This window comes from Homo sapiens, chromosome 3 (assembly GCF_000001405.40).
Source record: "Homo sapiens chromosome 3, GRCh38.p14 Primary Assembly".
Classification (NCBI taxonomy): Eukaryota; Metazoa; Chordata; class Mammalia; order Primates; family Hominidae; genus Homo; species Homo sapiens.
The window spans coordinates 109152840-109169530 of record NC_000003.12 but is presented as its reverse complement, the minus strand read 5'-3'; positions in this window follow the sequence as shown (position 1 = coordinate 109169530).

Sequence of the window (16691 nt, the reverse complement as noted above, 5' to 3'; positions counted from 1 at the left end):
TAGTTGGAGATGGTGTATTGCAGGTAAGCAAATCACTTGGGAGATCGTGTTAAAATACAGTCTGATTCAGCAGGTTTGAGATGAGGCCTGAGCTCATTTCAAACTAGCTGATGCTGCTGGTCCTCAACTACACTGTAAGTTGCAAGAAAATAGATGACCTCTATATTCACTTACAACCTGCATTTCCTTGATTTTACTACCTAGCATGCTGAGAAAACAGCTGAAAATTTTCACTTCATATCAGCTTGAGCCATTCTGCTTGTTCCCACTGGTGAAACTGTAAATTTTAAAATGCCAAGTCAAACCACGCGAAAGGGATTACACACAGCTCCTTGCCTTGCAATTACCCCATCACACACTGAGTTAATGTGGGCAAAGAGAAAATATGCGTAAGATTCTGAAAAGGTTGGAACTCAACTTAGGGATAAAAAAGAAAACTTTGGGGCTGGGCGCAGTGACTCATGCCTGTAATTCCAACATTTTGGGAGACTGAAGCAGGCAGATTGCTTGAGCCCAGGAGTTTGAGACCAGCCTGGCCAACACAGCAAGACCTTGTCTCTGCAAAAAAAGAAAAAAAAAACAAAAAACTTTGGAATCTCTAGAAAGATATAAAGGAAAGGATTGTGGAAAGAATTATGAGTTAGTTGCATTTTATTCAAGAATATAGTTTGGCTTTCTCAGTAAATATAAAACTTGATCTCACCATATATTTTCTAGTTCCCATGAAGCTGCATGCGAACAAAATTTTATCTCAAATCAGTTTTTTTCTTTTTCTTTTTCCTTTTCCTTTTTTCTTTTTCTTTTTTTTTTTTGAGATGAGGTCTTGCCCTGTCACCTAGGCTGGAGTGCAGTGGTGCAATCTCAGCTCACTGCAACCTCTTCCTCCCGGGTTCAAGCGATTATCCTGCCTCAGCCTCCTGAATAGCTGGGATTACAGGTGTGCTCCATGACGCTTGGATAATTTTTGTATTTTTAGTAGAGATGGGGTTTCACCATGTTGGCCAGGCTGGTCCCGAACTCCTGACCTCAGGTGATCTGCCCACCTCAGCCTCCCAAAGTTCTGGGATTACAGGTATGAGCCACTGAGCCCAGCCTCAAATCAGTTTTTTTCTAACGGCTTCTTTTAGACCCTAAAGATATGGCCATACAGAAAATACTTCACCAGAAGGAACTTAAAAATATTCAAGAATCTCAAACTTTCCCTCTAAGGAGTTTTCTGCCTAGGTAGCTTTTTGTGTGCTTTTAATTCTTTGACATGATCTTTTTTTTAAAGTTAGTTAAAAAGTTTTGTTTTAATTTTCATTTGAACCACTCATCAAAAGCACTTATATGTTGTTTTATCTGTCGGAAAGGTATAAAATTGATCTTATAGAGAAACTGAGATGAAAGCTGATGGGGAACAGGATTACTTTAAATATGAAATATTAGAAAAGGGTAATAATAAGCTAAAACATGGTGAAGCTGACTTGTTTCAAAATAAAAGTGACATTGAATTTTAAGAATAGGAGTAGGTCCTGAGATTTTTGTTTATAAAAATTACTTTTTTTAACAGAATAATGGAATCTAATAAATGGAAATGGACAATATTCTTTGAAATCATGTATTCCTTTACCTTCATTTTACAAATGAGGAAACCAAGGCTCAGAATGTCTAGGTCTGTCCTTCCTTCCTTCCTTCCTTCCTTCCTTCCTTCATCCCTCCCTCCTTCCTTCCTCCCTCCATCCCTCCCTCTCTCCCTCCCTCCCTCCTTCCCTCCCTCCCTCCTTTCCTCCCTCCCTCTCTCCCTCTCTCCCTCTCTCTCTGTGTGTTTTTTTTTTTTTTTTTTGAGACGGAGTCTTGCTCTGTTGCCCAGGCTGGAGTGCAGTGCCACCATCACAGCTCACTGCAGCCTTGACCTCCTGGGCTCAAGTGATCCTCCTACCTGAGCTTCCCGAGTAGCTGGGACTACAGGTGCATACCACCACACCTGGCTAATTTTTGTAGAGACAAACGAGGTTTTGTCATGTTGCCCAGGCTCATCTTGAATTCCAAGGCTTAAAAGATAAGCCCATTTCAGCCTCCCAAAGTGCTGGAATTATAGGTGTGAGCTACCGCACCCAGCCTTAGGTGATTTTCTTATGACAACTTAGTACACTAATGGCAGGATTAGCGATGCAGTGCTCTCTATGTAGTCCTAAGCTATTTCAATAACACCAACAACACCATACTAACACGTTTTGGGTAATAATAAAGTTACCATTTCTGAGATTAGATATTATTCCTCAATATGTCCTATCATTTTACAGGAGATATATGAGTGATAGCTTCGTGTGTTCAGAAAAGATAGGGAGGAAGAAGCACTTTAGTTTTTCCACAAAGAATTGGATAGCAAATGAGTAGGCAGAAGGATGTAGTAGAGCACATTAGTACCCAGAGGTGACACTGTTAGCTAAAGCATGAAGGCAGAAGTAGCAGGAAATAATCCTGGGACCTGGGGATATTGACTAGCTGGGAGTATTAGACAACAAAATAGAGGAGAGGATGGGCCAGCTATTAAAGATGTAGGAGAGCAAGTCAGATATTTCAACTTTGCGCTACCAAAATAGAGGGCCAGAAACAGATGTGCTGGGAAACTGCTTAAATCAGCTTGTGAGAGCCAATTACAGTATGTTCTTCTCGTCCCAACTTGGAGTTCAGTAATATTACATTAGTAATTGAAACTGCCCATGGTAGCAGCATTTACTCCATGGAAATCAGCAAATACCACAAACTGAAGATTTTTTTTTCTTTCTGGACAGCCAATTTACCAGCATATCCAAATAAAGTGATCTATGTTCCTCCAGTAGCTAGACTAGACATACAGGAGGATGGAGAAATTGAGAGAAGGGTTGGGGAGATGCGAAGTCTACCACCCCATCCAATGAGAAGTTTGGAGGAATGTTCTCACATCCAATTTTCACAGCAAATCCTTAGTACATGTTCTGGTTCCTTAATTTGTAAAATCCAAAGTTTCTGACTTCCAACTCCTTCAGTCTGAAACCACACATAACACTTTTGAATTTTTCAGACCCAAACTCAATTTACAATGCTTTAGGTAAGAAGAGAACGAGCATCTCCATTAGAAAAGGAGTAAGCCAAGAGGAAGAGAGTCGAAACACTTAACATAATTTTGTTACATTAAAGTCTAACTTACATCTGCAGCCTAAAGCAAGGTAAGATTTGTATCTGAAAATCACCGTTATTTACTCCAGTCTTGTAGAAGGCTATGAGCATACTTCCTACTGTGATTTTCATTACTACCATCCGCACATCACCACACCAGCAGCAATAGCAATGTCATTTATCGAGCAGTTATCCTAAGCCAGGCCCTATGCTTGTCATTCAATCATGTTTACTATATGGTTTACTAATAACGCTTACTGTGTGTCAGGCTTGTGCTTGATTAGTGGTACTTATGTTTCTTGGTCGTGAGAAGCCTCTACATTCTTAGACATTATTTAAGGAGTCAGTGAGTTTTGATTGATTGACTGATTGGTTTAAGTGACAGGGTCTTGCTCTGTAGCTCAGGCTGGAGTGCAGTGGCTTGATTATAGCTCACTACAACCTTAAACTCTTGGGATCAACTGATTCTCTCACCTCAGCCTCCTGAGTGGCTGGGATTACAGGCACTTGCCAGCATGCCGGGCTCCAGCATGATTATGGGGGTTACAGCCACTGATATGTATTGTATTAGAAATTGAAAACGACTTTTTTTTTTTGAGACTGAGTCTCACTTTGTTGCCCAGGCTGGAGTGCAGTGGTATGATCCTGGCTTGCTGCAACTTCCACCTCCCAGGTTCAAGCGATTCTCCTGCCTCAGGCTCCTGAGTAGCTGGGACCACAGGTTCATGCCACCATGCCTGGCTAATTTTTGTATTTTTAGTAAAGAGGGGGTTTCACCATGTTAACCAGGGTGGTCTCGAACTCCTGACCTCAAATGATCGCCTGCCTCGGCCTCCCAAAGTGCTGAGGCATGAACCACCACACCAAGCCAAAACCGGTTATTTTTAAAAAGTATTTATTAATTCATTCAATGATAATATAAAACCATTACATGTTAATATAATTAACATTTTTCATGTATCAGAAATATATTTTCCAAAACAAAAGAAAATAGAATTATGACATAGTTTTACAATCTGGCAAATCTCTTTACGGTCTACTTTAATAGAAAGCCCCTGGATTCCCTTATGTGCTTCTGCATGTATCTGTTGCAAGTAGTTTTTGGAAAACTCTACACTCATGAGAAAGAGTGAAAAAGGCAAATAACATCTTGGTATTTTTACCAAAATAGTTTTGACCTGACGGAACCCCTTTCAGCATCTTGTGGGTCTCCAGGAGCCTCCAGACCATACTTTATTTATTTATTTATGTATTTATTTATTTCTTCTAAAGGATTATTTTTTTATTTGGATAAACTAGAGAAAATAAAGACTATTAAAATTTTTTTAATATGAAAAAAGAGTAAGAGAAAAGATAGGAAAAGAAAAGAAAGACTGTCCAGGATCCCTTCCCATTTATTTTGTTATTATTTTTTATTTTTATTTTATTTTATTATTATTATACTTTAAGTTTTAGGGTACTTGTGCACAATGTGCAGGTTAGTTACATATGTATACATGTGCCATGCTGGTGTGCTGCACCCATTAACTCGTCATTTAGCATTAGGTATATCTCCTAATGCTATCCCTCCCCCGTCCCCCCACCCCACAACAGTCCCCAGAGTGTGATGTTCCCCTTCCTGTGTCCATGTGTTCTCATTGTTCAATTCCCACCTATGAGTGAGAACATGTGGTGTTTGGTTTTTTGTCCTTGTGATAGTTTACTGAGAATGATGATTTCCAATTTCATCCATGTCCCTACAAAGGACATGAACTCATCATTTTTTATGGCTGCATAGTATTCCATGGTGTATATGTGCCACATTTTCTTAATCCAGTCTATCATTGTTGGACATTTGGGTTGGTTCCAAGTCTTTGCTATTGTGAATAGTGCTGCAATAAACATACGTGAGCATGTGCCTTTATAGCAGCATGATTTATAGTCCTTTGGGTATATACCCAGTAATGGGATGGCTGGGTCAAATGGTATTTCTAGTTCTAGATCCCTGAGGAATCGCCACACTGACTTCCACAATGGTTGAACTAGTTTACAGTCCCACCAACAGTGTAAAAGTGTTCCTATTTCTCCACATCCTCTCCAGCACCTGTTGTTTCCTGACTTTTTAATGATTGCCATTCTAACTGGTGTGAGATGGTATCTCATTGTGGTTTTGATTTGCATTTCTCTGATGGCCAGTGATGGTGAGCATTTTTTCATGTGTTTTTTGGCTGCATAAATGTCTTCTTTTGAGAAGTGTCTGTTCATGTCCTTTGCCCACTTTTTGATGGGGTTGTTTGTGTTTTTTTTGTAAATTTGTTTGAGTTCATTGTAGATTCTGGATATTAGCCCTTTGTCAGATGAGTAGGTTGCGAAAATTTTCTCCCATTTTGTAGGTTGCCTGTTCACTCTGATGGTAGTTTCTTTTGCTGTGCAGAAGCTCTTTAGTTTAATTAGATCCCTATTTGTCAATTTTGGCTTTTGCTGCCATTGCTTTTGGTGTTTTAGACATGAAGTCCTTGCCCACACCTATGTCCTGAATGGTAATGCCTAGGTTTTCTTCTAGGGTTTTTATGGTTTTAGGTCTAATGTTTAAGTCTTCAATCCATCTTGAATTAACTTTTGTATAAAGTGTAAGGAAGGGATCCAGTTTCAGCTTTCTACATATGGCTAGCCAGTTTTCCCAGCACCATTTACTAAATAGGGAATTCTTTCCCCATTGCTTGTTTTTCTCAGGTTTCAGACCATACTTTAATAAGCTACATATTTAGGCGTGAAATCAATCTCCCCTGTCCTCACAGAACTGACCTTGTCAGACTGTCTTTTACATGCCTTATGTCATTCCAGCCCACCACAACCCTATGAGATAGGTATTTTTATTGCCTCCATTTTCTACATAAGGAAACTGTGGAACAGAGAGGAACAAAGAACTATAGAACACAGAGGTATTATTGGCAGAACTCAGTGGTGAAGCTGAGGCTCAATCCAGGTGTGTCTGATGATAGAGATGATGCATATAAAGCACCACACAAAGAATAAAGTTTGTAATGAACTTTTTTTTTTTGAGATGGGGTCTGTGTTGCCCAGGCTGAAGTGCAGTGGCATGATCTCAGCTCACTGCAACTTTTGCCTCCTGGGCTCAAGCAAACCTCCCCGCTCAGTACCCCAAGTAGCTGGAACTACAGGGGTGAGCCACCATGCCAGCTAATTTTTGTATTTTTTGTAGAGACAGGGTTTCACTATGTTGCCCAGGCTGGTCTTGAACTCCTGAGGACAAGCCATACACCCAACTGGGCCTCCCAAAGTGCTGGGATTACAGGCATGAGCCACTGCGCCCGGCCCATTACCTACTTTTTAAAGTTCCATTGAGACAGAAAAGTTTGATCATCTTTTGAAGAGGTCCTTTATGAAACAACTTCTAATCCAGCTGCTACTACTGTTCTTCTGCCACAACTGAAATGATCCCATCCCAAGGCAGGCCTCACTGTTTTGGAATGATGGCAAATGGTAGGGATGGTGGATGCATTGTGAGAATTTCGGAGTGAAAGAGAAAAATGTGTATGGAAGATCTGGCCAGGATATTGCAGTCTTTGAAATGAGTCCAAAAGTGTTGGGGGAAGAAAAGTAAAAGGTTGGTTGGTGTTAACCTGGGAGGCGGAGCTTGCAGTGAGCCGAGATTGCGCCACTGCACTCCAGCCTGGGCAACAGAGCGTGACTCCATCTCAAAAAAAAAAAAAGATTGGTTGGTGTTTCCAGTCAGCCAGAAATGTGAGCTGCTGCCACAGCCTGCAGGATTTGCTGCTTCCCCAAAGACTCCCTCCTCTCTGCACAGATGTAGTGGCACAAATTAATAGCTTTTCTCTGATATGCTGAGATCAGCCAGCAGATCTGAGGGCTACCTATCACTGTACTTATGGGAGATAATGGATTACAGCCATCATTATTATCAGATTATCCAGGGATAGAACAGACATTAACTGTGACATCATCATAATTTATTGAAGAAAAATTTATCAGAGGTTCTTTTTTTGTTGTTTTGTTTTTTGAGACGGATTCTCGCTCTGTGGCACAGGCTGGAGTGCAGTGGTGCGGTCTCGGCTTACTGCAAACTCCATCTCCCGGGTTCACGCCATTCTCCTGCCTCAGCCTCCAGAGTAGCTGGAACTACAGGCAACTGCCACCACGCCTGGCTAATTTTTTTTGTATTTTAGTAGAGAAGGGGTTTTACCACGTTAGCCAGGATGGTCTCGATCTCCTGACCCCATGATCCGCCCACCTTGGCCTCCCAAAGTGCTCAGAGTTTTGTAAATAAAACTCTTTATATATAATCTCTACTTTCTACTACCTTGTACCATGTATATGAGCTTCTTAGTATAGCTGCTATAGAATTCCTTCAAAAATTACAGCATCTTGAAAGATATCCAAAGATCACCTGGCTTTTTTCCAGAATTGAAATACTACAGTAAATAGAGCATGAGCTTTGGAGTCATAGAGATCAAGGTTTAACTGGTGGTTCTGCCAGTGATGAATTGTATGGTCTCAGGTAAATGACTATCCTCTCTGAGCTTCAGTTTTCCCATTTGGAAATTGAAGAAGACAAAGTTGTCCTCATAGGAACATTATGAGGCTTAGATGAGACTCTTAAAAAAAAGGGGCACAGTCAAAGACATACGTTAAAAAGATTTTACTTCTCTTTTCCCCTCTATGTACAGTGACCATGCAATTTATCATTGGGAATGGAAAACTTCTGAGAACAAAGGGAGGCTCAGTTAATAATTACACCTGGACAACAGACATAAACTGGATCATCCTGGGCAAATCAAGTGCATGATCATGCTATCTCTGAGTAAAACATTCTGGTAGGCAAGCGGTGCTGGCACTGCTATAGTTATGTAATGTCAAAGTGTTACTTTCTCTCTGTCATTAAAAAAAATAAGACTTTACTTTTATAAGTTTTAAATTTACAGAAAAATTGAGCAGAGTTCTCACATGACATTATTCCTACAAACATAGCTTCTCCTATTAACATTTTGCATTAGTGTAATACATTGGTAACAATTAATGAACCAATGCAGATATGTTATTAACTAAAGTCTTTTTCACATGAAAATCTTCAGTTAGGAAGTAAGTCCATAACTTCCCAAATACAATGTCTGTGTTTGTGCATAATGTTTTCTGAATAGGAAATGGGATGAAGGGAGGATAGAACATGAAATCAAGTGCTTAAAACCAAACACGTCATCTCTAGACTTTGAGAGTCTATCAGATTTTCCTGCTGCCATCTCTCTTTTCAAAACCCTCATTACTCACGTCACCCACACTTGAAAGTTTGATGGCGTCTTTTACTTTCTTACTGCTTAAGTATAAGCCGTCATCATGTAGCAATGTTTAGTTTTGTTTATACCGTTGTAAAATTAGAGCAAGAGAGAAAAAGACTGCTTGAATATCTTTCCAAATGTAACTTTGTATGACACTGCCAGACTGGAACATATACAACTGAATCTTTTGGTTTCTAAAGAAATTATTCGGCCAGGCTTGGTGTCTCACGCCTGTAATCCCAGCACTTTGGGAGGCTGAGGCGGGCGGATCACAAGATCAGGAGTTGGAGACCATCCTGGCTAACACAGTGAAACCCCATCTCTACTAAAAAAACACAAAAAATTAGCCAGGCGTGGTGGCGGGCACCTGCAGTCCCAGCTACCCGGGAGGCTGAGGCAGGAGAATGGTGTGAAACCAGGAGGCGGAGCTTGCAGTGGGCCGAGATCGTGCTGCTGCACACCAGCCTGGGCAAAAGAGCAAGACTCCGTCTCAAAAAAAAAAAAAAAAAAAAAAAAAAAAAAAAAAAAAAGAAAAGAAATTATTATAGCAGTGGACTTTATGTAACTTGTGCTTCAAGAGTGAAAAAAAAAAAAAAAAACTCTTAAGAAGGCTGCTTGGTATGTTGCCAAAAGTCTTCCCCACTTGCTAGAGGAAAGAATATTATCTCCAGTGTCAACTACTATAATACACATTACCTAGATAAAGAGATGGATTTTCTATTAGCAATTTTCTATAAATGATTTGGCACTCATTAGTTCATCGGATTAACCAGCTAAAACCTTGGAAGATAGAAAAAAAAACTTGCTTCCCAGCCTCCCACTTGGCCTCCCTCCAAGCAATCTTCTTTGACAATGACACCAGCGATATAGAGTATTTAAACTGCAAAGCTAATCAAGTTACTTCTCCATGTAAAATCATTCAACATTTCTTGTTATGTATTTCTTATTATTTCTAAACAGTTGTTAGTGATTTGGTTCCAACTCACTTTTTGCAGCCTCTCACATCCTTGGCCTCCTCCAAGAGCACCATCGTATCATCATTCTGTGGTGACCCTGCTCTCTATTGCACATGCTGGAAAGTTTCTCTGATTGTCACCCGATAATTTTCTTACATATCTTCGAGCAACTTAAGCTGTGCCTCCTCTCTAAAGCTTATACCAGTTATAAAAATTTAGTTTATTTATTTATTTATTTAACAATAATTTCTACCAGCAGTCACTCTAGGGGCTGGGGATGCTACTGTGATCAATGTAGCTCAAGTTCTGATTCTCAAGAAGATTACAGAGTAGCACAAGGGAAATGAGGTGGAAGGGAGGCTTTTCATGGACTAAATATGTAAAAATAAGTACATTATCAATTAATAAACAAGAGAATTTCCTATAGTGCTGTACAAAATAACAAGAAACAAAAAAGCAGCCCAGCACAGTGGCTCATGTCTGTAATCCAGAACTTCGAGTGCCCAAGGTGGGAGGCCAGAAGTTTGAGACCAGCCTGGGCAATACAATGAGACCCTGTCTTTACAAAAAATAAAGAAAATTAGCTGAGGCTGCTGTGAGCTGTGATTGCTGTACTGCACTCGAGCCTGGGTGACAGAGTGAGACGCTGTCTCAAAGAAAAATGAAAGAAATTAAAAAATGGCAACATAATAGAGAGAAACTAGGGGAAGGTTAAGGATGATAGGGAGAATAACAGCCCCCAAAGATGTCCACATCCTAATCCCAGAAAGCTGTGAATATGTTCTGTTATATGGCAAAAAGGATTTTGCCGATATGATTAAAGTGAAGAAGCTTAAAATAGGCAGATTATGCTAGATTATTCAGGTGGGTTTAACCTAATCACAAGTCCTTTAAAATGGAGAACTTTTCCTAGCTTTTGTCAGAGAGAGAGGAGTCGGAAGAGAAAGAGAGAATGGTGGTGATGGAAGAGGCAGAGAAGATGATGGGAAGGGGCCACAAGCCAAGGAATGCGGTGTCTTAGAAATGTCACCCCAAAATATGCCTCCTTGTTATAAAAATTATTGCTGAGCCTAAGGCAATTAAGAAGCAGCAGTGGAGGAATTCTCCTCTCTCTTTCCTCCCCCTTTTCTGCTTACAGGATATAAATTCTCCTTTACTAGAGACAATGCTTATTAGAGGGGACCAGAGGAATCAACAAACCTTACTCCATTAGTGTCTTCCCATACATTTATGTTGCCATGGTTTCCACCTTTGGAAGCCTAAAACCACTTTCCTTTATCCTGTCTTTTCTCTATAGATTTATTTTTCTTTGTTAAAGATGCCATATAAGCCAGAGTTCTAAGCCACTGCCTTGAGTTACAGTAGTTTCTCCTTATCCACAGTTTTGCTTTTCATGGTTTCAGTTACCTGCTGTCAACTGTAATGAAAAAATAGCTGACTATAGACCAGGCGTGGTGGCTCACGCCTGTAATCTCAACACTTTGGGAGGCCAAGGCTGGCAGATCACTTAAGGCCAGAGTTTCGAGACCAGCCTGGCCAACATGGCGAAATCCTGCCTCTACTAAAAATACCAAAATTAGCCGGGTGTGGTGGTGTGTGCCTGTAATCTCAGCTACTCAGGCAGCTGAGATAGGAGAATCACTTGAACCTGGGAGGCAGAGGTTGCAGTGAGCCGAGATTGCGCCATTGCACTCCAGCCTGAGCAAAAGGGTGTGGTACTCTGTCTCAAAAAAAAAAAAAAAAAAAAACCGAAAAGGCTGAGTAAAATAAGATATTTTGAGAGAGAGAGAGACAGAGATTGAGATCACAGTCATATAACTTTTATTAGGATATATTATTATAATTGTCTTATTTTATTATTAGTTATTGGTGTTAATCTCTTACTCTTCCCTAATGTACTATTATAGGTATATATGTATAGGAAAGAACAGCATATGCAGGTGACATGATTTGGCTCTGTGTCCTCACCCAAATCTCATGCTGAATTGTAATCTCTAATGTTGGGGTAGGGACCTGGTGAGAGGTGATTGGATCATGGGGATGGATTTCCCCTCTACTGTTCTCATAATAGTGAGTTCTCACAAGATCTGGTTGTTCAAAAGTATGTAGCACTTCCCCCCTCACTCTCTGTCTTCTGCTGCCATGTGAAGACATGTTTGCCTCCCCTTCACCTTCTGCCATGATTGTAAGTTCCCTGAGGCCTCCCCAGCCGTGCTTCCTGTACAGGTGGTGGAACTGTGAGGCAATTAAACCTCTTTTCTTTATAAATTATGCAGTCTCAAGTAGTTCTTTATAGCAGTGTGAGAATGCACTAATGCAGTAGGTATTCGCTACACTAATTCAGTACACTAATTCAGTACTGATAGTACACTAATTCAGTACTATCCACAGTTTGAGGCATCTAGAGGGGATCTTGGAACATATCACTTGCAGATAAGAAAGGACCACTGTACTTTTCACTGAGGTTTGTCCTGTGCGATATGCCCTGTATTTTAAAATAAATTGTTTTTCTCTTGATGATGTCTCTTTTATTATAAGGGTCTGTCCCAACTACAAACTTTTGAGGGATGAAGAAAATTATATTTTCTTCCTGACACTGAAAAAGGCAAGGAAACTGATTTCTCTCAAGATTGTCTAGAAAGAAACACAGTCCCACTGACACCTTGATCCTAACCCAGTGAGGCTAATGTCAGCCTTATAACCTAAAGGTCTATACAATTATAAATTAAGGGCCAGGCATGGTGGCTCATGTTTGTAATCCTAGCACTTCATGAGATGGAGGTGGAGGGCTGCTTGAGGCCAGGAGTTCAAGACAAATCTGGCCAACATAGCAAGATCACGTCTCTAAAATAAAAAAAAGTTTTAAAAAAGGATTATAAATTCAAGTTGTTGTGGGCCACTGAACTTGTGGTAATTTGTTAGAGCAGCAAGAATAAAGTGATACAGTAAGCTACTTAATACCAGATAGTAAGGATGCTATCCTTGAAGAGGAATACGAGCTGAGACCTGGATGATGGAGAGAAATCAACCTTTTAAATTTCACAGGGAAGAAGAGTCCAGGAAGAGGGAAGCGTCAGTTGCTGACAGTGGAGCAGCCTTGACGTGCTGTAAAATCATAGTGGAGGCCAATGCTCTGGAACACGTCAGTGAGCGAGAGAGAGGGGAGAAGAGTGCAGGATGAGATCGGAGCTCCAGGCAGGCACCCAGCCATCGAGAACCCTTTGCGGACAGGACTTCTGTTGTGGCACTTTACCTCGTTGTAGTGTGCACAGACAGTAGTAGCTCCTCACTTCACTGCATATCTGGAGATCCTTACCAGCAGGAACTGGTCTCATTCATCTTTGATGCCCTGCACAAAGCAGCTGTAGCGCCTCAAACATAGCAAGCCCACAAATGTAGAACTGGTGTGGATGACGTGTGAGATTCTTTAGAAAAACAGAACAATAGCAAGACTAATCTCTGTTGCTTTGGAATTATTGACTACTGGGAGCTCCTTGAATTTTAAAATGTAAATGTTCATCATTTGGGTAATTATTTTACGGCACATTAAGGGGAAATGATCTGTGATAGTATGTGTATCAGAGAAATTGAGGTGATCAAAAATATTGTTAGCCATGAGTGTGGTGGCTCATGCTTCTAATACCAGGGCTTTGGGAGGCCAAGGAAGGGGGATCGCTTGAGCTCAGGAGTCTGAGACCAGTCTGGGCAACATAGCAAGACCTTGTCTCTACAAAATAGAAATAAAAAAATTAGGTGGGTGTGGTGGCATGTGACTGTAGTCCCAGCTACACAGAAAGCTGAGGCGGGAGGAAGGCTTGATCCCAGGAGTTTGAGGCTTGTGGTGAACTGCGATCACACTACTGCTCTCCAGCCTGGGTGACGGGGTGAGATCCTGTTTCTAAAAAAACAAAAAATTTAAAAAAAATTTTTAAAAATTGTTGACTGGGGTCCCCAGTAGGAATTTCCTCAACACTGCTACCATAATCATGTACAGTTGTAACTTTAACAATAGCAGCCCTTAGGTGTTTATAAGACCTAAACAGACTTCTGCCTCCAGAGGCTACATTCTTAAATACCAGGCTATACTCCCTCCATATTCTTTCCCCAAGTGGGGCACAACCCAAAGTTAAACATTAAAACTCTCAGGAAAAATGCCAGAGAATTCCTGTCTGGTCTTTAAAGGTAGTTAAAAGTTCAACTATACTACAGGTGTGGCTACTTTTTTCTCTGTATAGTTACTGCCTGGATTAAAGATCACCAGAATACCTCTTCGAAAATATACTTTTAATGGGGCAAAAGAATGGAGCTAAGAAGGCATATCTTTCCTCAACTTGTCTGTTAAAAAATAGCTAGCTTGTTTTCTATTGTTATGATTAGAAAGAGAAAGTGCAGCTGCTTTTGTCACTGATGGATGGAGTAAAATATTTTAAATTTAAATAATTTATTTCATTTTTACATTTGAACTGCCTTCTAAGACAGTTCCAATTTGTGATGTAATCTCCAAATATTTATTTTTTGTCTCTAATTTGAAGTAGTCCGGCACTATCTCTGATTTAGATGGGTAGTTTGTATATTTAACCAGTCAATGCTAAATTACTTTCAATAAAATTCATTCAGATTGCCACTGTCATTGAAGATAACAGTGTGAGAGATATATTTTTTCTGCCTGATTCAATTGCCTGAGATATTTGAGGTCAATCTGAAGAAAGTAAATGGAATAAGTAAAATCCACACAGGAAAATAAATACCTTCATTTTTAATTTGTTATGTGTACAGTGGTTCTCATCCATTAGTTATTCTATTTAAATTATAATGAATTGGCACAAAAGTGGATATCTTTTGAGACTGGCTCTGCTGTGTGGATGAAACTGAAGAAGCAGAAATGAAAAAATACTATTGAGTTCTTATTCAGTTCTCTTACTGACTCACTGGACAGCAATGTGGATAAATTACATCACATCGTATTTGTTTGTCCTGTCACTGACATAAAAGGGTAAGAGCAAAATCTTGTGACTATGGCTTCCTGATAGGCACCATCCTCATCAGTACCCATTTATTCATCAAACACTTACTGCACACCAAACATTGTCCTAGATATCGTTGGAGTTGCAAATATAAATCTCAATTAAATCCTAACCTTAAAACTGTTCCTTGCTATCCACAGATGATTGGTTCCAGGACCCCCACCCCCGCCACAGACACCAAAATCTGCAGATGTTCAAGTGCCTTATATAAAATGGCATAGTATTTGCATATAATGTATGCACATCCTCCTGTATACTTTAAATCATCTCTAGATTACTTATAATACCTAATACAATGGAAATGCTATGTAAATAGGTGTTACAGGGTACGGGTTTTAACATTCGTATTATTTTTCGTTGTCTTATTGTTATTTTTTATTGTTTATTTTTTCAAATATTTTTGATCCACAGTTGGTTGAATTGGTGGATGCAGAACCTACCAATATGGAAGGCCAACTGCACTGCAATAATATAATGGTATACTTTTTTTTTTTTGAGATGGAGTCTTGCCTTGTCACCCAGGCTGGAGTGCAGTGGCATGATCTCGGCTCACTGCAAGCTCCGCCTCCTGGGTTCATGCCATTCTCCTGCCTCAGCCTCCTGATAATGGTATACTTACATACAACAGTGATAGTGATGAATGTAGGTAAGTGTACTATAAACTTCTGTACATAAAAGTTGTAATTATAGCAATTTTATATGCTATAATTACATATGCATATGTTACTCTTCTGCATTCTTTGAAACCTAAATCTAAATCCACCTCCTCAGTGAAACCTTCCCTGAATCCCCCAGGCTGAGTAAGTTTTCTATCCTCTGTGTACATATAAATTTGTAACTTGAATCAATGTAGCTTTCCTCTGTATAAATGCAGTGGATGTTTTTCTCTCTTACTAAATTAGAAGCTCTACGGAGAAGAAACTGTGTCTCAGTCCTCTTTGTACCTTCACCATACCTAGGCCAAGGAAAGATGGCAGTCGTGTTTGTTAAATGAGTGGATAAATGAATCAATAAATGATACAAGGTAGAAAGAGTATTTGAGGGGAGTAGATGAAATAATTTAAAAAGGCCAGGTTTGGGGAAGCTTTGAGTTATGGATAACAGAATTCTGGAATACATTGCGAAAAACCAAAAAGGGCATAGACTTTTATGTGACCTTAGGAAAGCTAATAGTAACAGTTAACTTTTATTGAGTGCTTAGTTCCATGCCAGGCACTGTTCTACCTCATCTTATTTATTCCTCACAATAAGTAGATCCAATTATTCCTATATTATTAAAGACGAAGCTGAGAACAGAGAAGTGTCAATAAGACTCCACAGCCAGCCAAAGTGAAGCCATGATTGAAGTCTAGACATCTCTCTTTGAGAAAGAGCCTCACTCTATCGCCCAAGCTGGAAGCAGTGGTGCTATCTCAGCTCACTGCAACCACCACCTCCCAGGTTCAAGCGATTCTCGTGCCTCAGCCACCCAAGTAGCTGGAATTACGGGTGCAGTCCACCATGTCTGGCTCATTTTTTTTTGTATTTTTAGCAGAGATGGGGTTTTACCATGTTGGCCACGCTGGTCTCGAACTCCTGGCCTCAAGTGATCCACCCACCTTTGCCTCTGAAAGTGCTGGGATTACAGGAGTGAGCCACTGTGCCTGGCCAGAAGTCTAGACACTCTTAATTGCTGTTACAGAGCTGCCTCCAGTTAGCTCTATTTAGACAATTTAAGCCTTAATTTTCATCGCCCTAAAATGGGATCTGTAGGACCTACCTTATCAGATTGTTATAATTCAATGGTAAAGGGTATAACGGTTTCGTATAGTGCACAGCAGAATATATATCTCAATAAATGTTTACTTCCTCTTTTTTAATCAGTCGAAGGTTTTGAAAAGTGGTTGAATAGGATACATAACAAGATTAGCACCATGCTTTTCATATCATCAAAGGAAGACTTGGAATTGTTTCCCCGTATTAATATGGCATTGAAATGTCCACTGGGAAAGCATGTGAATCAACATTACATGAATTCTAGAGGGTAGGATGTTCAAGAGACATAAAAAGGGTCAGCCTGATCCTTGGCATATATGTTGACTTGTTCTACAGAAAATGCAGGAAAGCTTAGGCAGAAGAGTGCTTGTATAGGGTCAGACCAGTGAGCCTCAAATTTGGACAGAAGCCTCTGGGAGTCTGGATTTAGTAGGATTATCCTTACCTGTCATTTCCAGTTACATAGTGGGCCTCTGTATTAAGCAGGTGAAGAAGGCAAACCAACAGAGTTCCCTTTAAAC